This window comes from Homo sapiens, chromosome 2 (assembly GCF_000001405.40).
Source record: "Homo sapiens chromosome 2, GRCh38.p14 Primary Assembly".
NCBI lineage: Eukaryota > Metazoa > Chordata > Mammalia > Primates > Hominidae > Homo > Homo sapiens.
Window position 1 is genome coordinate 241,385,126 of NC_000002.12, and position 24,206 is coordinate 241,409,331.

Here is a 24,206-nt window from a genome sequence, read left to right on the forward strand (position 1 = left end):
TAATGAATCTTCAAATTTTACTTATTTAGAGGAATCAAATTTGGAGAAAACTGAGAACACTAGAGGAGGGCAAACTTGTTTTGGAAATGGTTGCTAGAAAGTAAGTTATAAAAACTAAAACTCTTTTATTGCTGTTAATTTTCCTCAGTAAAGAAATTGATGCTGCTTTTTAAATCATTCAAGTCAAGTAGTTTATAAAATAATAGTATTTTGTTGTATATTGTATGTTTTCTACCTTAGAAAATTTTTTAATATATTTCTTAAATTATAAAATTTATACATCCAACAAAAAATTCAGTCAATATAAATGAGTAGGATGGGCACAGTGGCTCATACCTATAATCCCGGCACTTTTGGAGGCCAAGGCAAGTGGATCATTTGAGCTCAGGAGCTCGAGACAATTCTGGGCAACATAGCGAAACTGTCTCTACTAAAAATACAAAAATTAGCCAGGCATGGTGGCTCACGCCTGTAGTCCCAGCTACTCAGGAGGCTAAGGTGGGAGGATCACCTGAGCCCTAGTGGTGGAAGTTGCAGTGAGCCGTGATTGCACCACTGCACTCCAGCCTGGGTGACAGAGCCAGACCTTGTCTCAAAAAAAAAGAGAAAAAAAAATTTTAATTACCTATTTGCCCACACCCAGAATTAACGTCTTCAACATTTACGTCATATCATCCATTTAACTCTTCTAGACATTTTTTGCACTTACTTATGCACTTTTATATACACACACCCCATCTATATCACTACTTCTGTCCTTTTGATTACATAAGTACTGAGAAGAATTAGCTTCCCATTGTGAATGTGCTTATATGTATTTCTCTCTTTACCTCCTGTAATTTTTATTTTATGAATGTCAACACTATGGTTATTTGTCCAAAGATATACATAACTGTTAGATCTTAATGGATACAAGGTTACTGAGCAAAGGGGCTGGCTGCCTGATGTGCATATGGCACCAGCTTGCTTTGATTTGATTTTTTTAGAGATGGGGTCTTGCTCTGTAACCCAGGCTTGAGTGCAGTAGCATGATCATAGCTCACTGCATCCTTGAACTCCAAGGCTCAAGTGATCTGCCCATCTCAGCCTTCCAAGTGCCCCACCACACCCAGCCAATTAAAAAATATATATTTTTTAATTTTAGAGATGGGGTCCCGCTGTTGTTGCTCAGGCTAGCTTGAGCCTGAGCTCAAGTGAACCTGGCCCCAAGTGATCCTCCGGCCTGATTCTCTTGAGTAGCTGGGATTACAGGCGCGAGTCATTGCTCCCCGCTCAGCAGTGGATTTTGAGAAAAGAAAAGCTTTATTGCCAGTCAACCAACAAGGAGACAGGAGGCCGGCTCAGATCTGTCTCCCCATTCTGTCCTTAAGACAGTATATTTAAGGGAGAGATTTTGGGGGAAGCGTTTAAAGATTGGTTAGCGATTGTCAAAGGGAAAGGGGAGGTTTGGAAAGCCCCCTGGGCATGTGCAGCTGTCTCTTCACGCGTCTTCGTGCATTGCATGTGCAGATTCAGGGGGAGTATGGAACGTGGTAGAGATTCCAGCTGTGCTGTTAGCAAGCTCCTTCTGTGCAGGCTCCAGCTGGCCACCTTGGTTCCCACCAATTTCACCCAGATTTGTTATCTTACAAACAGAGGGAGTTTCAGCAAGCTGCTGTTTTTCTTATCTGCCATCCTGTAAGTTCAAGCTTTTCTGTTAGTCACTGGTTTCTTTAACTGTTTGGGATATGGTTTCAATAACACTTTTTCCTCTAATAAGTGTCCTTTTATTGTCTCACTTGTACCTTTTTGGCCTAAATTCAACCTTATATTCAACCATGTAACCAAGGTCCCCTTGCTTTTTTGTTTGTTTGGAATATACTTGGGATACCCATGTCCTTCTTTTATTTTCAGCCTTTCTGAATCATTTAATGTGTTTGAAATATGTTTCTTATATACAGCCTAATGGCTCATGTTGAGCGTTCGCCACATTCTAGTTGCTCTTCTAAAACCCCTTGTCTGCGTTGTTTTATTCGGTCCTCTCTGTTAGAACTAGTCTTCTCTTTTATACTTGGGAAACGGAGGGACAGAGATGTTTTTGAAAGACGTACCCGATACTAGAGGCTCCAGCCAGAGCAGCTGGGAAGAAAGAAAAGGAGGGAGGAGAAAAGAAAGGAAGAGAGGGAGGCCGTCCACACTGGAAAGGAGGTAAAAACTGTTTACACATGACACTACGTTGTATATAGAAAAGTTTAACATACCTGTCTCTCTTTTAAAAAAAGCTATTAGAACTAATAAACGATTTCAGGAAGGTTGCAGGATACAAGATTAATATACCAAGATCAATTGCATTTCTATGCACTAGCAATGAACAATTCCAAAATAAAATTAAGAAAATTGTTTTATTGGCCAGACGCAGTGGCTCATGCCTGTAATCCCAGCACTTTGGGAGGCTGAGGTGGGCTGATCACGAGGTCAGGAGATCGAGACCATCCTGGCTAACACGGTGAAACCCCGTCTCTACTAAAAATACAAAAAATTAGCCAGGCGTGGTGGTGGGTGCCTGTAGTCCCAGGTACTCAGGAGGCTGAGGCAAGAGAATGGCGTGAACCCGGGAGGCGGAGCTTGCAGTGAGCCGAGCTCGCACCACTGCACTCCAGCCTGGGTGACAGTGTGAGACTGTCTCAAAAAAAAAAAAAAAAAAAGAAAATTGTTTTATTTACAGTAGCATTAAAAATAATAAAATACTTTGGATTCAATTTAACAAAAGAACCTTAAAACTTGTACACAGAAAATCATAAAAGTATTGAAAAAAATCAAAGATCATCTAAATAAGTTGAAAGACAATGTTCATGGATCAGAATACTTAATATTGTTAAGATGGCAATACTCTCAAACTGCTCTACAGATTCAATATGATTTCCATCAAAATCTCAGCTAGCTTTTTAGTAGAAATTGACAGCAGATCTTACAATGTATATAGAAATGCAAGGGATAGCCAAAAACCTAAAATAGCCAAAAACAATCTCAGAAAAGAAAAAAGTTGGAGGACTCACACTTTTCCATAGCAAAACTTATTGTAAAGCTTCAATAATCAAGGCAATGTGGTATGGCATAAGGATAGACTTATAGATCAATGAAATAGACTTGAGAATCCACAAATAAGCCCTTACATTTATGGTTAATTGATATTTTCAAAAAGAATGTCAAGACAATCAATGGGAGAACTAATAGTCTTCCACAGATGGTGCCTAGGCAAGTGAATATCCACATGCAAAGAATGAATTTGGACCCCTACTTCACATCATACTCAAAAACTAATTTAAAATGGATCATTAATGTAAATGTCAGAGTTGAGACTGTAAAACTCTTAGAAGAAAACCTAGGAGTAGATATGACACCAAATTCCAAAGTGATAAAAGAACAAATAAAGATGCTATCAAGAAAGTAAAAATAATGAGAGAAAATATTTGCAAAAGATATATCTGATAAGGAACTTACATCTAGAATATACTTTTTAAAATAACTCTTATAGCCTGGGCAACATAGCAAGATCCCGTCACTACAAAAAAAATTAGCCAGGTGTGGTGTCACTTGCCTAGAGTCCTAGTTACTTGGGAGGCAGAGGTGGGAGGATTGCTTAAGCCCAGGAGATCAAGGCTGCAGTGAGCCGTGATCATGCCACTGCACTCCAGCCTGGGTAACAGAGTGAGATCCTGTCCCAAAAAAATATCTCTAATGCTATGGACTAGGTGTTTGTGTTCTCCCAAAAGTTTTGTATTGAAGCCTTACCACCAATATGGTGGTATTTGGAGATAGGACCTTTGGGGTGATTAGGCCATGAGGGTGGAGCCCTCACGAGTGGGATTAGTGCCCTTATAAGAATAGACATGAGGCGGGGTGAGGTGGCTCATGCCTGTAATCCCAGCCCTTTGGGATGCCAAGGTGGGCGGATCACTTGAGGTCAAGAGTTAGAAACCAGCCTGGCCAACATGGTAAAGCCTCATCTCTACTAAAAGTACAAAAATCAGCTGGGCATTGTGGTGGGTGCCTATAATTCCAACTACTTGGGAGGCTGAGGCAGGAGAATTGCTTGAACCCGGGAGGCAGAGGCTGCAGTGAGCCAAGTGTGCCACTGCCCTCCAGCCTGGATGACAGAGCAAGACTTCGTCTCAAAAAAACAAACAATCAAACAAACAAAAACTCTTCGGACTTAAAAAGAAAAAAAGAAGAAGAGACATAAGGGAATTTTCTTCCTCTCTCTCTGTGCTACTCCACTTGTGAATAGAAGAAAATGGCCATCTGTTAACCAAGCCTTATACATCACCAGAAACTTTATCTACTGCCAGCTTGACTGCAGACTTCCAGCCTCCAGAACTATGAGAAATAAATGTTTGTTGTTGAAACTGCCCAGTCTATGGTGTATTTATTATAGCAGCCTGAACCAACTAAGACATCTTACAACTCTGTAAAACAACCCAATTTAAAATCTTACTCAAGGTTACGCAGGAACTCAAGAATTCTCACCCAGGTGATCCACTTTCTTTGAATAACAGTTGTCTTTCCTTCTCTTTCTGGAGCTCTGATACTGTAGTTTTGTGCTCTTGTATTATAGAGGCAGTTGCTTTATTAAATAGTTTTTAATATCTGTTTCTTTTTTATCTTGAATACCTTTTAATATTTGCAGCGCTTATTCTATTTTGATCACCCATCTTTGAAGCAGATAAGTTATTCACAGGTTGGCTATTTTAAGGAGGTTCTCTTGGGGATTGGCTGGTCATAGACTCATTGAAATGTAAAGTTCATGCCATGACTCGAGCTTGGTATGTGGGTTTGGATGTGACTTGCTTGAGATTTCTTCTTTGGTCTATCACCTCTGCTCTTCTAAGCCAAACTGGGCCCACACTTGGACCCTGCTACCCAGGTCTCTTCCCATCCTTGCTCTTACAAGCAAGGGACTGAAGTTTTGCACCTCACTGTGCCCTTCACCTTTGATAAGTGTTCTTAGGGCTTCTGCTGAAGTTGGCCCCGTGGCATAGTGCTTGTGCCCCCACTACAGATGCCCAACCCCTTGCTCTGTCCCTATTGCTAGTGGTGCTTCTCCCCACAGTTTTGTGATGCAGGATTTGAGAGTTCCTACTTTTGCTGAAAATAGAGTTTCTTATTTACCTTTTTGATTTTGAACGAGTCCAGCAAATGACTAAGGAGATGACAGCTGGCACTGCCGTCTTCAGGACAGGAGTCACGAGGCATCTTCTGGATTATCATACCCCAGTGTCTGCTACAGCCCCTCTCCTAGGTTCCTCGTAGACACATTTGTGATTCCTAAATTTGGATTTTCTTTCATCATTTTTATCTCTAGAAGAATGCATCTGTTTATTTTTCCACACCACTGATTCCAATTCAAGTCTTGTCCATCTGTTGTTTGGGCCTCCTGTTGAGGTTCGGTTTCTGGAGTCATCTTTGTAATATCCCCTTTTCATTATTTAGTTGGATTCTTTTTCCAGTCTCCTCTCATTTTATGAATACCTTTACCTCTAACACTGACCTTTTTGGGGATCTTATTTTTTTCTTTAATTTTAATTTTTTCCCATTTTTATTAATTTTTATACAAAGGCAATAGTTGTACATAGGATCTTATTTTTTTAGATTATGTTTTCTTTGGTATACCAGGTTTACTCATTCTTCGGTGACTAATTTCTCTGCTTTTCAGGTAGGTCTCTGTAGTTCAAGAGTTTGGTTTAAATGTCTAACCATTCTTAGTGTCTGTGTATTTTTGCAAATGAGGTTCAGGTTGATCAATAATGGTCTTATTGGCCTTTTTTAAAGGCTGCTATTTGATTTCCCAGGCAGGCTTCCCTTCTGAAAATGACAGCCACCTGGCCACAGGGCTGTGGGAGTGAGCTGCGTCCTGACCATAGTGAGTGGGTGGGGACGCTGACAGACACGTTTCCTTTTTGTGAGTTTTCACAAGTACGCACAAGTAAGGACAGGCAAGCTGCTGGAACTCTTTTGGTTGATGAAGAAGAAAGAAAGGAATTGCTTAAGAGCTTGCTTTGAGAGATCTTACTGCTGAACTAAGCTACTCTTCTGTTTTGCTTTTTCTCAGATGCTAAGTAAAAGACAGTAAAGAAGAAAATAATTATATGTTTTGTGCCCAACTCCTAAAACAAGCCAGTTAGTAGCAGGTTGCTTCTTTGGCTTCTGGTGTTTGGCATACACTGTCTGCAAATGTGCTGGGAAGATGGGGTTGTAGTGAAGCGGGGCCTCCTTCACCTTGGGGTGTGTCCTTCTTGATGTGCCCTTGCCCAGGTGGAAGACTTTAATAGACATAAAGCAGTAATGGGCGAGTGTTCTACATCACCTGCTTTTGTGCTCAGATGGCAATCCCCTCCACATTTCCACTGGTGTCTCTGTGAGGAAGCTCATCGCAGGTTTTGTATTCTCGGGCCCACCTTCCCCCACTTCTGAGAGCACTAGAAGGCACAATTTTCTCTCCTGATGAATTTGGGAATTCAAGTAGGCAGCTAGCAGAATAGACGCCAAGTGAACCTCCATTTAATGACTCTTCTTCCAGTTTTCAACCTCATCTGGTCGTGCAGAGCTTCTGCTACCACTACATTGCAGTAGTTAGGAGGACCACTGTGGATTTGGCTTTTTTTCTCCCCACTCTTGGGGAAGAACCCTTTTTCCCAAGCTCAAGATGTTAAAGCTGTACAGTCGTTTTCCAGAGAATACCATTGAATCGTTCAAGGGCCAGTCAGGAGACAGAAACTGTACCAGTAATTTGAACAGGGAAATTTAATAGAAATAATGATTAACCAGCAACAGAGGATTAACTACTAAGACGGGAGGGAGATGCTAAAGAATATAGGACCAGGAGATATGGTGAGCAGCTGCCACACCAGGGCTGAGGGAAGGAATATCCAAAGAAGCAGCAAAGTTGAAAGAGGCCTTCTCTCGCAAGGCTGAGGTGCAGACCCATTGGCATTGGATGGTGAAGTTCACTAAGGTGCCATAGGAACCGGCTGGCAGGGAGGAAACTGCCCACCAGTGGGACCGGAATGCCAGTGAAACTCATAGGATGGTGTGAGCCGCTGGCTCTCCTGCACACAGCTAGCAAGAAAGCCAAAAGCCCAGAAATGGGGAGAGAAGGCCCTTCTTGTTGTATCTCCCCAGAGCCCTCTACTGGCAAAGCCAGCTTGTGTAAAAGGAATGTCTACAGGGTGCTACTCCAGTGTCACAAAGCAGGGTAAAGAAGGGTGGGTTTGGAATGGAAAGGCAATAAATAAGTAATTGAGTCACCAGTATTAACAGGTTCAAATTGGGGGATTTCATGTTGTACTGTTTCCTTGAGTAGTTTAAGAGAAACGATTGTAGAAGAGCTAGGGTATGAATGAATCCATTGATACATAAGCTCAGTTTTTGCCCACATCTCATGGTAGAGATGATTTATCTGCCAGTTGGTCTCTTCAGTCTAGAAAGATGAAGTGCCTGGGGATTCATTTGTCCCTCTATGATACAGAACCCTTCCCTTAGAAGCAGAAGTAGCAGTCTGGATGTGTTGGCTCATACTTCTAATTGCAGCACTTTGGGAGGCTGAGGCGGATGGATTACCTGAGGTTAGGAGTTTGAGGCCAGCCCAGCCAACATAGTGAAGCCCTATCTCTGCTAAAAATCCAAAACCTATTATCTGGGTGTGGTGATGTATGCCTGTAATCCCAACTACTTAGGAGGCTGAGGCAGGAGAATCACTTGAACCCGGGAGGCAGAAGTTGCAGTGAGCCGAGATGGCACCACTACACTCCAGCCTGGGCAATAGAGCGAGACTCCATCTCAAAAAAGAAAAAAAAAAAGCAGAAGTAGCAGTTAACATCTTTTTGCTGAGATTTAACGCTACTCCTGATGGTTCTTTTTTTTCTCTCTCTTTTTTGAGATGGAATCTCACTCCATTGCCCAGGCTGGAGTGCAGTGGTGGCATCTCAGCTCATTGCAACCTCTGCCTCCTGGGTTCAAGCAATTCTCCTGTCTCAGCCTTCTGAGTAGCTGGGACTACAGGCACCTGCCACCACACCCGGCTAATTTTTGTATTTTTAGTAGAGACAGGGTTTCACCTTGTTGGTAAGGCTGGTCTCAAACTCCTGAGCTCAGGTGATCCACCCGCCTCGGTCTCCCAAAGTGCTGGGATGAAAGACGTGAGCCACTGCACCCGGCCTCCTTATGGTTCTTAGTGCAATTTGGAGTAGAAGTTTGGTGTACAGTATTTTAGGAATATGTGAGAACCCAAGATTTGAAAATGTGCCAAAATGAGAGTGAAATGCCTATCAAAAATGTTGGTGACCTTTCAAAGAATGTAGCTACAGTTTCCTTTTGAGCGCTCAAGATTATTTTCATTGTACAGTATAATATTATAAAAGGAAATTTGGGATTGATCTAATTAGGCAATAAAAATCTTAAGTAATGAAACTTACAGTACAGATATGAATTATATAATAGGAGGGGCCATCTAGATAGATAGAGGAGTTATAATTTGGCAAATGAACTGTAAATGAGCACATGAAACAAGTTAAAGGACAAAAGCTGTTTCAAGAAGAATTTTCCCACAGAGCTTAAGACAAAGAATAAAGAAGTACTTTGTTAGCCAGGCCTTTGTCGCCCATTTTCATCTAGACACAACCTTTAATAGTTTTGTAAATGTAAGTTTTTAACAATATTGTTTATACCTAAGCCTGGAAAAGGACCTTAACACCATGACCAACTAGAAAACTGGAAACACTGAACAAAAAGTTTTGCTTTTTAACTTGTATTTTTTATACTATGTTCTTAATACTGTTTCTCCTCCAGCCTAGTATTGAAACAGTTCTGATTTGAGTCAATGTTGAGTTCAGCAGGAAGCACAGTGTGATGGCGGGGTTTTCTTCCATTCTGAGCATCTGGATGATGCCAGTGCTCTAACTGGCTGTGAGGCCCTTCCGACCTAGTGCAGGGAGAATCTTGTTTCATCTGATCATTTGGTACTTTGGGAACATGCAGTGATTATTGTAGTCCACCTGATAGTGAATTTCTGTATTTTTAGGACCAGAAGGTATGTTTTAAGTCGAGAAGATTTGAAAGGATAAAAGTGGACATGTGGGCCAGGTGCTTTGGCTCACGCCTGTAATCCCAGCACTTTGGGAGGCCGAGGCAGGCTGATCACGAGGTCAGGAGATTGAGACCATCCTGGCTAACACGGTGAAACCCCATCTCTACTAAAAATACAAAAAAATAGCTGGGCGTGATGGCGGGCACCTGTAGTCCCAGCTACTCAGGAGGCTGAGGCAGGAGAATGGCATGAATCCAGGAGGCGGAGCTTGTAGTGAGCCGAGATCGCGCCACTGCACTCCAGCCTGGGTGACAGTGCGAGACTCCATCTCAAAAAAAAAAAAAAAAAGACATGTGACTGATACAAGTGACACTGAAAATAGAACTGATTATGACACTTTATGACCTACTGTCCAGGTCGTAAGGCATCTATACAAATTATGGAGAGTGAACCTGTGGAAAATTACTTTGGCAAGAATTCTTGAAAAAAGTTTGGTTTCTTTAAAGTACATTATGGAAAATATTTTGATTTTTAAAATATGTTTTACATGTTGGCAGGAAAAAGAAATTATTGGATGCTGTGTTGAGTAACATGCACCCATCATGGAATCAAAGGGCTCTCCCTCTCATCTGTGGTCTTACTTTTTGTAGACCTTATTAAGAAGCTGTTTTGCACGCTTGAGGACCTGTCCCGAATGAACCCTACTCCCTACTCAGGAGGGGCATGAGCCCTCGCTGTGTGTGATGTTTTCTGGTGATGCTCACACTGTTCTGTGTGGGCAGACAGCGAGCAGCAGTATTGGACTTGGAGAGGCCGTGTGCCAGGCATGGTGCTCAGCGGCTTTCCTGTGCTACCTTATTACACTCCCATAAAACCCATTCAGGGTAAGAGTTGTGTTGTTCTTCAATTGAGGAAGCCGAGCCTAAGCATACCCACCAAGTGGAAACCAGGATTCCTACTCCAAAGCCTCTGCCCTTAGGACGGTGTGAGGAAACCTGTTCCTTGTGATCAACTCAGGAGCCACAAAGGGCCTGGAGAATATCTGCTCCTCTTCTACTTAGAGCAGAGGATGACTGACCCTTGGCTTAATGGCTGTTGGTACTGTTTTAGAGATGATTATACAATATACCAAAAAGTTCAAAGAGCTAAAAATATATCTCTATACCTTATTTTATATTTATCATTTTGACCATCAATTCTTCCTTACATTTAGCTATTCAAATTAAATCTGTTTTTTCTATTTTGGTCTTCTTTAGGTTTGAAAAATAACAGGTCAGCCTCTTCCCAGATTTCTTGACATCCTTGGAAACCATGCATTTATGCCATTGCAGAGAAGCTCAAGAATGGCCCAGATCCCTGTGGTCACCTGGCTGGTTTGCAGAGCCTTTCTTTGTGGCCTGCATTGTACCTCACACACTGCCTGCTACTTCTGGTCATGTTGAATTGCCCACCTTTTAATAACTTATGTCAGGTTGGACTTCAGTATTTATGGTCATAACAGAAATGTTTCTTCCAGTTATGAAGTGATTTGTTTTTTCATTAATAGACATCTGAGTGCCTACTATGTGGGGGGAAAAAAGGGCTCTCCTGACAGTTGTTTTTTTGTTGTTGTTGTTTGTTTGTTTGTTTGTTTTCCAATAATTTCAGTTGAAGTATCAGGAACTACCTGGGATTCTGTCCTCAGGGATAATTCTTTCTGTTGAAAGTCTCCAAGAGTGTGGTGATCTAATTATTGATCAAAGTTCATAATATGGTTTCTGCCCTCCTGAAACATATGGCCTACAAATTATCTATTTTTATGTTTAGTACTTTAAAAATGATATATTAAAAAATTAAACTAGAGTGATGATACAACTATCTGATCTTTGACAAACCTGAGAAAAACAAGCAATGGGGAAAGGATTCCCTGTTTAATAAATGGTGCTGGGAAAACTGGCTAGCCATATGTAGAAAGCTGAAACTGGATCCCTTCCTTACACCTTATACAAAAATTAATTCAAGATGGATTAAAGACTTAAACGTTAGACCTAAAACCATAAAAACCCTAGAAGAAAACCTAGGCATTACCATTCAGGACATAGGCATGGGCAAGGACTTCATTTCTAAAACACCAAAAGCAATAGCAACAAAAGCCAAAATTGACAAATGGGATCTAATTAAACTAAAGAGCTTCTGCACAGCAAAAGAAACTACCATCAGAGTGAACAGGCAACCTACAAAATGGGAGAAAATTTTCACAACCTACTCATCTGACAAAGGGCTAATATCCAGAATCTACAATGAACTCAAACAAATTTACAAGAAAAATCAAACAACCCCATCAAAAAGTGGGTGAAGGACATGAACAGACACTTCTCAAAAGAAGACATTTATGCAGCCAACAAACACATGAAAAAATGCTCATCATCACTGGCCATCAGAGAAATGCAAATCAAAACCACAATGAGATACCATCTCACACCAGTTAGAATGGCGATCATTAAAAAGTCAGGGAGCAACAGGTGCTGGAGAGGATGTGGAGAAATAGGAACGCTTTTACACTGTTGGTGGGACTGTAAACTAGTTCAACCATTGTGGAAGTCAGTGTGGCGATTCCTCAGGGATCTAGAACTAGAAATACCATTTGACCCAGCCATCCCATTACTGGGTATATACCCAAAGGACTATAAATCATGCTGCTATAAAGACACATGCACACGTGTGTTTCTTGCGGCACTATTCACAATGGCAAAGACTTGGAACCAACCCAAATGTCCAACAATGATAGACTGGATTAAGAAAATGTGGCACATATACAGCATGGAATACTATGCAGCCATAAAAAATGATGAGTTCATGTCCTTTGTAGGGACATGGGTGAAATTGGAAATCATCATTCTCAGTAAACTATCTCAAGGACAAAAAACCAAACACCGCATGTTCTCACTCATAGATGGGAATTGAACAGTGAGAACACGTGGACACAGGAAGGGGAACATCACACTCTGGGGACTGTTGTGCGGCGAGGGGAGGGAGGAGGGATAGCATTAGGAGATATACCTAGTGCTAAATGACGAGTTGATGGGTGCTGCACACCAGCATGGCACATGTATACATATGTAACTAACCTGCACATTGTGCACATGTACCCTAAAACTTAAAGTATAATAATAATAAAAATAAATAAATAAACTAGATTGATGTGTGTTTTGGTGTAGTCCCCTTAGAAAATTTGTTCTCATGAAGTATAAAGTTTTGTTCTCTGAATAACTTAACTTGCATACAGTGATCTATGTTAAGTGATCAAACTTCATAGTGTAGACACTGTACCAAACTTGTCTTTTTTTGGGTAATTTCTGTGATATGTATTCTGTTCTGCGTGACCATTTTAAAAGAGACCTTGGTAAGCTGAACTGTGTCCAGAAGAGATTGATCAGGTGAGGATTTAGGGAGGTAGAGGTTGGAGAGACATTTAGACGAAAGGCTAGGAATTATTTTCAAGCAGAACTGTCCAGCGGTAGAATCAGCTGCTTCATTGAGTTGTAGGTTCTTGGTGTATCAAGCAGAGGCGAAGTTCACAGCTCAGAGACTTTTGTAGAGAGGATTATTATAAAATGTGAAAGATCAATTTTCATGAACTCCAAAGGTTTTTTAAACCTTTTTTCCTTTTTTTTTTTTTTTTTTGAGACAGTCTCGCTCTGTCGCCCAGGCTGGAGTGCAGTGGCGTGATCTTGGCTCACTGCAACCTCCACCTCCCAGGTTCACACCATTCTCCTACCTCAGCCTCCCAAGTAGCTGGGACTACAGGCGCCTGCCACCATGCCCGGCTAATTTTTTTTGCATTTTTAGTAGAGATGGGGTTTCACCATGTTAGCCAGGATGGTCTCGATCTCCTGACCTCGTGATCCGCCCGCCTCGGCCTCCCAAAGTGCTGGGATTACAGGCGTGAGCCACCATGCCTGGCCCTTTTTTCCTTTTAATTACATTCTTATTGAAATATAACTTACATAAGAAAGTGCATGTGTCTTATGTGTGCAGCTTGATAATTTTTCATATGTATACACTTATGTATCCCCACCCAGAGAATGGAGTAGAACAGGCTCCCTGTGCCTGTCTCAGTTATGACCCCCAAAAGTAGCCAGTGTTTTGATCTTTAGCATTATAAATTAGTTTTGCCAGATCTTCAGGTTCATTTAAGTATGTATATATTTATCAGGTACATGAATACAATATGTACTATGTGAAAATTATCAGTGTTGTTGGTATAGCTGTGGTTTGCTTGTTTGTTCGTTGCTGGGTAGTATTCCATTGTAAAAACAAATCACTGTTTATCCATTCTGCTGTTTAATTGACATTTTGGTAGTTTCCAGTTTTGAGCTCCTATGAGTAAAGCTTCTGTGAACATTCTTTTTTTTTTTTTTTGAGACAGAGTCTTGCTTTGTCTCCCAGGCTGGAGTGCAGTGGTGCAATCTTGGCTCACTGCAACCTCTGCCTCCCAGGTTCAGGCAACTCTCCTGCCTCAGCCTCCCAAGTAGCTGGGATTACAGGCTGTGCCACCACGCCCGGCTAATTTTTGTATTTTTAATAGAGATGGGGTTTCACCATGTTGATCAGGCTGGTCTTGAACTCCTGACCTCAGGTGATCTGCCTGCCTCGGCTTCCCAAAGTGCTAGGATTACAGGCGTGAGCCACCGCATCCAACCAGACATTCTTGAATTTGTCTTTAGGTCTCTATAAACAGATATTTCTGTTGGGTTTATACCCCGGACTGGAATTGCTAGGTTATAGGGTATACTTCTGTATACCTTTAGTAGATACTGTCAGTTTTCCAAAGAGATAATACAAATTTACAGTGTTTGAGACTCCAGATGTTCTACTTTTCTTGCCAACATTAGGATTATCCATTTTTATATTCTCAGCTATTCTGGTGAGGGTCTAGTGGTATCTTATTGTGGTTTTAGTGTGCATTTCCTTGATGTAATATTGTCCAACTTTTCTTGTTGTTTATTGGACATTTGAATATCCTCTTTTGTGAAGTGCCTATTTAAGTCTTTCGGCCCATTTGTCATTAATTGGGTTGTCTGGTTTTTCCTTATGATTTGTAGATCTTTATATATGTTGACTACAAGACCTTTGTTGGGTTTGTTTGTTTGTTTTTGAGACGGAGTCTAGCTCTCTCGCACAGGCTGGAGTGCAGTGGCATGATCCCAGCTTACTGCAACCTCCACTCCCAGGTTCAAGCAATTCTCCTGTCTCAGCCTCCCAAGTAGCTGGAACTACAGGCACACGCCGCCACACCCGGCTAATTTTTGTGTTTTTAGTAGAGAGTAGTGAAAGTTTTGTATTTTTAGTCAGGCTGATCTCAAACTCCTGACCTCACATGATCCATCTGCCTCGGCCTCCCAAAGTGCTGGGATTACAGGCATGAGCCACCACACCCAGCCTCTTTGTTGGGTTTTTGTATTGCAACTATCTTCTATTTTGTGGCTTGCCTTTTTCCTATCTTAACAGTGTCTTTTGATATACAGAAGGTTGTAATATTCAGGTAGTCGATATCAGTCTTTTGGGGGTGGGGGAGCTAGTGTTTTTTGTGTCCTGTTTGAGAAATATTTGCCTACCCCAAGCTTTATTGTTGTGCCTTTCCGTGATTCATATTGAATTAATTTTGTGCATGGTGTGAGGTTGGAGTCAGTGCTTATTTTCACCTGTATGGATATGCAGTTTCCCTGGCACCATTCATGAAAAGATCATCCTCCCTGTACTGAAGGTTAAACACACATACATATGTTTGTTTGTGTGTATATATACAAATACCCATATAACTGTGAATTTTTGTGCCCGTATTTACAAACCCTGTCCTGGGTGTTGGACATTGCTGGTTAACAGGTGCCTTGTGAATGTGCTTGCACCTGCGTGGTTAGTGTCTATCGCCTTCATTAGTGTAGTCAGGCAGGGCTCCTGGAGCACACTCTGGCTGCACTACTCTAGGCAGTGCAGGGGCTCAGGTAGGACGGGGAACCCTGACCTCCCCATTGACTCACAGGGGCAGCCAGGTAGTTGAAAAAGGGTACAGCTAAGAGAATTTCATATTCTCTGTGCCACCTGAAGTGCACACTCAAGCTCCCACAACAGCCGTCAGAATCAGGAGCAGTGGTGGACAGTCCGGGAATCTGGCCGTGTGTGGTGCCTCTCCTGTGAGCCAGAGCTGGAGCTACTAGGATGGAGAAGGTGCAGTCCTTGCCCTTTAAACTTGCCATCTGGTAGGAGGAACACACCCAAACAAATAAACGGGTCACAGTCAGCAGCAATGCCAAAGGGCAGTTCTAGAGTCGAGTACCAACTGGTGTGTAATTAGGTAGAATTGACTGGATGAAGAGAGACCACAAATGAGCTGACTTTTTATCAGATTCTCAAAGCATTCACTGGAGACTGATAGAAGGGAAGTGAGAGAGAATTCTTCTCTAAGGGAATAGCCTGGGCATGTCATTATCCCTGCACTCAGGTGAAGCCAGGTAGTGTGAGGCTGTATCAGGGTGAGGGACTTGGTTGTATGTAGCCTCCCCACCCCAAGTACTGACTCAGGGAGAGTCATGAGGAGGACTGTCCTGGTGATCCTGGATGGAAGTGTGGACAGACAGTATGGCTTTGAAAGAACTTCATAGGGTTGTTTGGGCCCACAGTGAGTTAGTGCAGCATACTCCACGGTTCATAATTTCTGACTAGTTAACAGTCTCAGAAACCCTGGTCTGGCTGCATTCTCCCCATCCTGATGGACCACATGTGGAGCGCTGGCATGCCTCCTCCCAGATGCCCACAGGCATCAGAGTAAGTTCTTACTGGAGAAGGCCCTAAGAGATTATGTCAGAGCAAGTTCAACACAGATTTGCCCTTTTGTTCTTTAGAAATTGTATGTACAATGTCAGGTCACTTCGTAGCTCACCTTTCCATTTTAAAGAGGCGTTCCTTGTACTTTCATTCCGTATGCTGCTTTGTTACAATGGATTTGCAAGGTTTTATTTCTTACACAGTGAGAATCTGGTGACTAAACCTCAAGGGCCATAATGTCCTTTGGAACAATGAGATTTGCCTCCCCCAGTTTGCACATATTGTTTATTAATTGTGAAGATGATATATGCCTATTGGTTAAAAATTGAGATGTTATAGAAGTGAAGAAGTAAGAATGCTCTTGCCCCACCTCCACCTCTGCTTAGTTCTTTAATGATGGTTACTTTTAAAGATTTAGTGAACAGCTTTCCAAACTTATTTTTATTACATATAAATGTATCCATGGGGCATATGTGTTTTTAATAAAATGGAATCGTTTTATACATTGTATAGAAATGGAGGCCTTTTTTTCTTTTTCCTTTTAATTTTTATCTTTTGTAGAGACAGGGTCTCTGTTGTGCCGTCTGATCTTGAACTCCAGGCCTCAAGCAATCCTCCTCCCTCAGGTTGCTGAGTTCACAGGCGTGAGCTACCATGCCCAGAGTCCCTTTTATTTTTTTCTTAATTAAACTATGTGTTGTAGACTTTTTTCAATGATAACACAATAGAGAGTTCTGTGTTCTTTTTAAGGGTTGCATAGTTGTCCATTATGGATATGTCATTATTTATTTTACCAATTCTTTTTTTTTTTGAGACGGAGTTTCGCTCGTCGCCCAGGCTGGAGTGCAATGGCGCAATCTTGGCTCACGGCTTACTGCAACATCCGCCTCCCGGGTTCAAGCTATTCTCCCGCCTCAGCCTCCTGAGTATCTGGGATTACAGGCGTGCACCACCATACCCGGCCAATTTTTGTATTTTTAGTAGAGACAAGGTTTTGCCATGTTGGCTAGGCTGGTCTCGAACTCCTGAGCTCAGGTGATCCACCCACCTCAGCCTCCCAAAGTGCTAGGATTACAGGCATGAACCACCGTGCCCGGCCTATTTTACCAATTCTTTACTGAATTTGTCCTTAACATGTTTAGGTCTGTACAGTTGTATGAAAGTATCTGTAGGAAAAAGTTCTAGAAGTAGAATTACTGGGCAAAGGTAAATGCACACTTTAAATTTTCAAAGGTGTTTTCAAATTATCAGGTCATATGAACTTACATTCTTCCCAGCACTCTGTGAAAGTGGCTGTTTCTCACAGACACACCAATATTGGCATCATCATTCTAACCCTCTTTGATGGGTGAAAAATATCTTACTGTTTTATTATTAAAGAAATTTAGTATCTTTTTAAATGCATAGTAGCCATTTGTACATCTTCATCTAATAAGAGCAAAATAAAACATTGTAACTTTTTCCATTGTGATTCTAGATAACTTTGTTAAATGTGTTTCTGTTCAGATGTTTTTCACTTTTATTTAAGTCAAGTCTGTCCATCTTTCCTTTTTGCTATGCTTAGGAAGACTTTACCTTTCCCAAGATTATAGAGATTCTTCTCTGTTTGATTCTGGTCTTTAGGTCCACTGGAATTTATTTTTGTGAGTAATGTACAATAAAACTCTATTTCCATTTTTCTTCTTCTGTTTTTTGAAACAGGGTCTTACTCTGTCACCCAAGGTGGAATGCAGTGGCACAATCTCAACTCACTGCAACCTCTGCCTCCTGGGCTCAGGTGATCCTCCCACCTCAGCCTCCTGAGTTAGCTGGGACTACAGGTGCACGCCACTACACCCAGCTAATTTATATATATATATATATATATATATATATATATATATATATATATTTTTTTTTTTTTTTTTTTTTTTTTTTTTTTGTAGAGACAGTGTTTTGCCATGTTGCCCAGGCTTATCCTGAACTCCTGTACTCAAGAAATTCTCCTGCCTCAGCCCCACAAAGTGCTGGGATTACAGGCGTGATCCCACCATGCTCAGCCCATTCTTTTCCTTAATGGGAGAGTCCGTTGCCCCACCTCCTTTATGAACAGTTCTTCTCATTGATGTGAAATGCTACCAAATAATATTTTTTTTCTCTTTGTAATTTCCGATTGACCAAATAATTATTTACTGGGATCTTATATAAATAAAGACTCTTAAGACTTTAGCTTTTTAGTAAATATTAAAATTACTTTTTTTTTGAGACAAAGTCTCACTCTGTCACCCAGGCTGGAGTGCAGTGGCACGATCATGGCTCACTGCAGCCTCCTTCTTGCAAGTTCAAGCAATCCTCACACCTCAGCCACCTGAGTAGCTGGGAATACAGGTGGGCACCGCTGTGCTCGGCTAATTTTTTAATTTGGGTAGAGGTGAGGTGTCACTGTATTGCCTAGGTTGGTCTCAAACTCCTGGGCTCAAGCAATCCACCCACCTCAGCCTCAAATTGCTGGTATTATAGGCGTGAGCCACCGCACCTGGTGTAAATATCGAAATTATTTGATAAAATATTTACCAAAACTAGAAATGGTTTCTATAGCTTAAAGTTACAAAGAAATAGGACTGAAAACACACTAAATGTAAAATGGAAGGAATTTTTTAGCTTTATTTATTTTGTTGCCAGTTTCTGAGCACAAATGCTTCAGACTTTTTTTTTTATATATAGTTTATAAATCTTAGTTATACACTGGAAGACAAAGTGATTTTATGTGTGGGAAAGTAGTTTTATGCACAGTTTTCATAAACCCTTGCTGTTTAGTCTTTCAATCCTTGTTATTTTTCCCATCTCTCTCTGCACAGCCTAAATGCGATGGCCAGGTATTACTGACACAAGTGTGGAAGCGTTTAAACCTGGTAGAATGTGACTACTTCGGGATGGAGTTTCAAAATACTCAGTCCTACTGGGTAAGTGCTTATGACGTGCCCAGGCGTGGAGCCTTTGGGCCTGCTGTGATGACAGCCGCAAGATCTTTCATCATTGCCACATCATCAGCATTAAATGTTTTTGCTATTAAAATATATTCTTGTTAGCTGTAGAGAATATGTCTGCCTTTAATCCAAGCCTGAATTCACACTCTCCCTAAATGTGTTCTGTTTGTTAGCACATGTGCTGAGGAAACTCTCTTAAAAGGTATAAAAGCAACCTCTAATACATCCTGTATGAAAATCATTTCGAAAGTGGACTTGTAGCAAACTTAACCAGTTATGCCTCATTTTACTTAATAGATGCAACCTTAAAAAGTGTGGAGTTTTAATATTTATAGATAGAACTGTTTTAAAGAACCATACATCAACCCTTTAGTTCAAAAAGCATGTCAGCGTTATTAAGTTCTGTCCAGCCTTTCAGATACCCTTGGCAGTGCGACCAGATTTATCCAAGTCTCCTGTTCTGGTGACATGACGTACCTCTTTTTTGCAGAAGCCCGCTCATCAGTTTGTTCACAAATGCAGTAGTACCAAATATTTGTTTGGTGTTAACAAATTCCCACAAATAATTATTGGGACCCATTCTGCGCATAGCAGCAACTGAATAGAGGTATCCCAGTATCATATAGCAATTTTAACGTCTTCCCATGCTTCCCAAAGCAGGCATTGCTGTCCTTCTTGTACAGTTTGTTTTATCAGGATTCAACCTTTAAGAGGGGGGGTAGAGTCAAAATTTTCCTGACATAAAAATTTATCTTATTATAACCATTTTTGTTTTTATAGCATACTTGTTAAATAGAGACATTATTTAATAGATTGGATTTCTTCTGTTAACTCTTCTTTAGATTTGGCTTGAACCTATGAAACCCATCATTAGGCAAATACGAAGTAAGTCCTTGGTTTGACTCTTTAAAATCTGTTTGTTTAAGATGTGTTGTCCTGGAATGTTTAAAAGGCATGTTCAACTGTTCATTCTCACCACCGTGTATGGTTAGCAAGAAGTAATCACCAATAGCGGACAAACTTGGAAGTCATTTTGCTGTTTAGTTTTAGTAATTTTAACTCAGAAGATTCTAGGTGACTTGCTTCACATTCGGAAATAAGAGCATATGCTGTTTGATATCGTCTTAATTTTTGGCCAATATGCAAAAATAACTGCAGTTTCTCCCTTGATTATGAAAAGACATTGAGATTCTTCTTTTAAGTAGCTTTTAATAAAATAGTTGATACTGTTTTACAGTTATAAACATAATTGTAATTGTGAATATAATAATAACAATTATATTATTATTTTTGAGACAGGGTCTCGCTATTTGTTGCCCAGGCTGGAGTGTAGTGGTGTGAACACAGTTCTCTGCAGCCTCAACCTCCTGGGTTCAAGCTGTCTTCCCACCTCAGTCTCAAGATAATTATTTTCGTTCATCTACTTATTAAATTTTTTAAACTAAGGCATGTAGTAGCACTTCTCAGTTCTTCTGTAATTGTGTCAGATGAAGTCTATAGTTGTCTGAGTCACCCATAATTTTTTGTATTACTATTATAAATTGAAGAAAAACGTGTAGAAATAACTTCATTATATCAGAACAAGGATCTCTGAGGAAAGAAAAAATAACTATTTTATACCAATAAACTAAGATAATGTACCTTTACAGTAATCAGATTTCAAAAATAATGTGTTTTTATTACTATTAATAATACTGGCCCGGTGTGGGGCTCATGCCTGTAATCTTAGCAATTTGGGAGGCCCAAGCGGGCAGATCACCTGAGGTCAGGAGTTCGAGACCAGCCTCGCCAACATGGTGAAACCCTGTCTCTACTAAAAATACAAAAATTAGCTAGGCGTGATGGCGCATGCCTATAATCTCAGCTACTCAGGAGGCTGAGGCAGGAGAATCACTTGAGCCTGGAAGGCGGAGGTTGCAGTGAGCCAAGATGACACCACTGCACTCCAGCCTGGGCAACAGATTGAGACTGCATCTGAGAAAAAAAAAGTAGATGTAAACACATTAACTTTTTTTTAAAAAAAACTTTTTCATTTATCATTTTTTTCCCTAAAACATAAACTGGGGGCCGGGCACGGTGGCTCACGCCTGTAATCCCAGCACTTTGGGAGGCCAAGGTGGGCAGATCACAAGGTCAGGAGATCGAGACCATCCTGGCTAACATGGTGAAACTCCGCCTCTACTAAAAATATAAATTAGCCGGGTGTAGGGGCATGGTGGGGGGCGCCTGTAGTCCCAGCTACTCAGGAGGCTGGGGCAGGAGAATGGCATGAACCTGGAAGGCGGAGCTTGCAGTGAGCCGAGATCACGTCACTGCACTCCAGCCTGGGCGACAGAGAGAGACTCTGTCTCAAAAAAACCAAAACAAAACAAAAACATAAACTGGGGAAAAAATGTCTCTCTCTCTCTCTTTATATATATATATATGTATGTGTGGGTATATATATGTCTGTGTGTATATATATAGAGAGAGAGAGAGAGAGCACGCGCATGTTTTTGTGTGTGGAGGGGTGGGCAATCTCGTTCTGTCACCCAGCCTGGAGTGCAGTGGTGTGATCTCAGCTCAGTGCAGCCTCTGCCTCCTGGGCTCCACCAGTCCTCCCACCTTGGCCTCCCAAGTAGCTGGAACTTCAGGCATGCGCCACCATATCTGGCTAATTTGGGGTTTTTTTGGGGGGGAGAGGGGCGGGTAGAGATGGGATTTCACCATGTTGCGCAGGCTGGTCTGAAACTCCTGGGTTCAAGTGATCCACCAGCCTCCGCCTCCCAAAGTGCTGGGATTACAGATGTGAGCCACTGCACCCAGCCTATTTAAATTTTTTAATGTGCAATTTCCTACTTGTTTTTATTTATTTATTTATTTATTTTTTGAGACGGAGTCTCGCTCTGTCGCCCAGACTGGAGTGCAGTGGCACGATCGCGGCTCACTGCAATCCCCGCCTCCCGGGTTCACGCCATTGTCCTGCCTCAGCCTCTGGAGTAGCTGGGACTACAGTCACCCGCCACCACGCCCGGCTAATTTTTTTGTATTTTTAATAGAGACGGGGTTTCACTGTGTTGGCCAGGATGGTCTCGATCTCCTGACCTTGTGATCCGCCCCCCTCAGCCTCCCAAAGTGCTGGGATTACAGGCGTGAGCCACCGCGCCCAGCCCTACTTGTTTTTAAGGCTTCCTTGAGTAATCCCTGCTGAATGCAAAAGATTTTAAAATTCTATATATATATGTGATTGGTACTTGGGACTCATAAATTCATATACAGGAAATGCTTCTTTGTTTTTTCTTTTGTTCGGAGACAGGGTCTCACCCTGCTGCCCAGGCTGGAGTGCAGTGGTGCAGTTGTAGCACACTGCAACCTCAGACTGCTGGCCTCAAGCCATCCTTTCACCTCAGCCTCCCAAAGGGGTGGGATTACAGGCACACACCACCACACCTGGGCAGAAATTTCTTAATATCATATTATTTGAAAAGATTTGCTGTAACAGTCCACTTGGAAGCATGACCTCAGTTATACAGTAATATATGAAAAGAGAATAAATGCAAAGATCGGCCTTATTTGTGAAGTTTAAATTTTTTTGTTATAGGGCCAAAGAATGTGGTGCTTCGCCTAGCTGTAAAATTTTTTCCACCTGATCCTGGTCAGCTACAAGAAGAATATACAAGGTAAAGAGCTCACAGAGCTGAAGCTGTTGTCAGCAGGAATCTTGTATTCACCTGTTATCTCCCACAGCACCTGGCTCATTGAAAGAATGAATAAGCCTGATATACACAGAAAAGTGACCATGAGTGTAGAGTGGTTAACAGAAGCATGTTGGCAGTTGACCCTTGCACAAACACATGTGAATAAGACTTCAGTGTAAGGTTTACAGTACAAATTTGAAAATAAAAAATGGAATGGGATGTTAGGGTCATGTTGAACTTACATTTTCCAAATGAACATAGATTTATGCATGTTCATAAGGTTCTCAGGGATTTTGCTCATATATACTTATTTATCAATAAAATATACTTAATTGGTAGAAGTACCCAGTGTGTTAGTTCTTATGGATTTATGGAGCAGAAATACTTTGGGTCACTTCTTTTGTGCTACTATTTTGAATTAAAGATCAATTCTTTATAGGAATGATCTAAAGATGGCAGGGTGCAATGGCTCACGCCTGTAATCCCAGCATTTTGGGAGGCCAAGGCGGGCAGATCACGAGGTCAGGAGATCGAGACCATCCTGGCTAACACAGTTTTGAAACCCCGTCTCCACTAAAAATACAAAAAATAAGCCGGGCATGGTGGCGGGCACCTGTAGTCCCAGCTACTCAGGAGGCTGAGGCAGGAGAGTGGCATGAACCCGAGAGGCGGAGTTTGCAGTGAGTCAAGATCACATCACTGCACTCTAGCCTGGGTGACAGAGCGAGACTCCGTCTCAAAAAAAAAAAAGAAAAGAAAATTATCCAGGCGTGGTGGCAGGCATCTTTAATCCCAGCTAATTGGGAGGCTGAGGCAGGAGAATCTGTTGAATCCAGGAGGCAGAGGTTGCAGTGAGCCGAGATTGGCATTTCAGTCCAGCCTGGGCAACAAGAGCGAAACTCTGTCTCAAAAAAAAAAAAAAAGAAAATATTAACAATTGTTTCATCTGGACAGTAAGGTTATGGAAGGTTTTTCTTTGTATTTTTTGTATTTGTTCACATATCAATTATATTATGAAGAATAGAGGAATAACCTAAAAAGCAACTGAAAACCCAAAATTAGATATAAAAGAGAACTATGATGTTGTAGTGGTATCAATAACTTTTTTGCCTTCTGGCTAAAAGTGTACTCATAAATGAATCAGATGTCTTATGAACTCTCTTTTAAAGGTTTCTGCATATCATTTTAGCAACACAAAATCGTAGAATGTCAGCTGCAAGGAAATGGAGAGACCACATTAGTTCACCCTCTTATTTTTAAAGGTTTAGGAAACTCCAAAGATGGCAAAAAGTATTTTTATGAGTGACCATAGATCTTAATAGTGTATTAAATGCCTGACATTTACCAAAAAAAAAGTCTCTTTTGAGGGAATCACTTTTAAATAGAGATAGATAGATAGATAGATGATAGATAGATAGATAGATAGATAGATAGATAGATAGATACCTGAAAATGATGGATAACAAAGTGTCCCCTCATTCAGGATCCTGGGTCTCAAGTTCTAGGACTCATGCTGATAACTCAGTATTATAGTTACTCCCTTCTCCCCCATATTTATGTGGAGGATTCTTTTTTCTGTTTATAAAAATGTACATGTTTGTGGTAAAAGAATTTTTTTTCCAAATAAAGCTAAGGGCCAGGTGCAACGGCTCACACCTGTAATTCCAGCACTTCAGGACGCCAAGGTGGGGGGATCAG

At 41.3% G+C, this 24,206-nt stretch overlaps 1 protein-coding gene across 12 annotated transcripts in view, besides 2 other annotated features; it reads left to right on the forward strand.

Annotated features, from left to right (window-relative positions):
- FARP2 (FERM, ARH/RhoGEF and pleckstrin domain protein 2) overlaps positions 1-24,206 on the forward strand; it is a 138,557-nt gene that overhangs the window by 28,841 nt on the left and 85,510 nt on the right. For 9 of the 12 annotated variants that reach the window (XM_047446511.1, XM_011512233.1, NM_014808.4 and 6 more), the window contains exons 3-5: positions 18,703-18,807; positions 19,674-19,716; positions 22,412-22,490. In XM_047446511.1, the coding sequence (XP_047302467.1) occupies positions 18,703-18,807; positions 19,674-19,716; positions 22,412-22,490 (227 nt within the window). Of the gene's footprint in view, positions 1-2,162; positions 2,188-10,317; positions 10,533-18,702; positions 18,808-19,673; positions 19,717-22,411; positions 22,491-24,206 lie in introns of those variants that run through there. The other 3 variants (XM_011512236.2, XM_047446512.1, XM_047446513.1) reach the window with 3 other exon arrangements.
- Positions 1,489-1,783: an enhancer, noted in NCBI's record as "tiled region #5168; K562 Activating DNase matched - State 8:EnhW". NCBI's record gives its function as "activates a minimal TATA promoter and a strong SV40 promoter by Sharpr-MPRA in K562 cells {active_cell/tissue: K562}" and the evidence as "EXISTENCE:reporter gene assay evidence [ECO:0000049][PMID:27701403]".
- Positions 8,027-8,086: a silencer, noted in NCBI's record as "silent region_12538". NCBI's record gives its function as "represses an Ori minimal core promoter by ATAC-STARR-seq in GM12878 lymphoblastoid cells {active_cell/tissue: GM12878}" and the evidence as "EXISTENCE:reporter gene assay evidence [ECO:0000049][PMID:35858748]".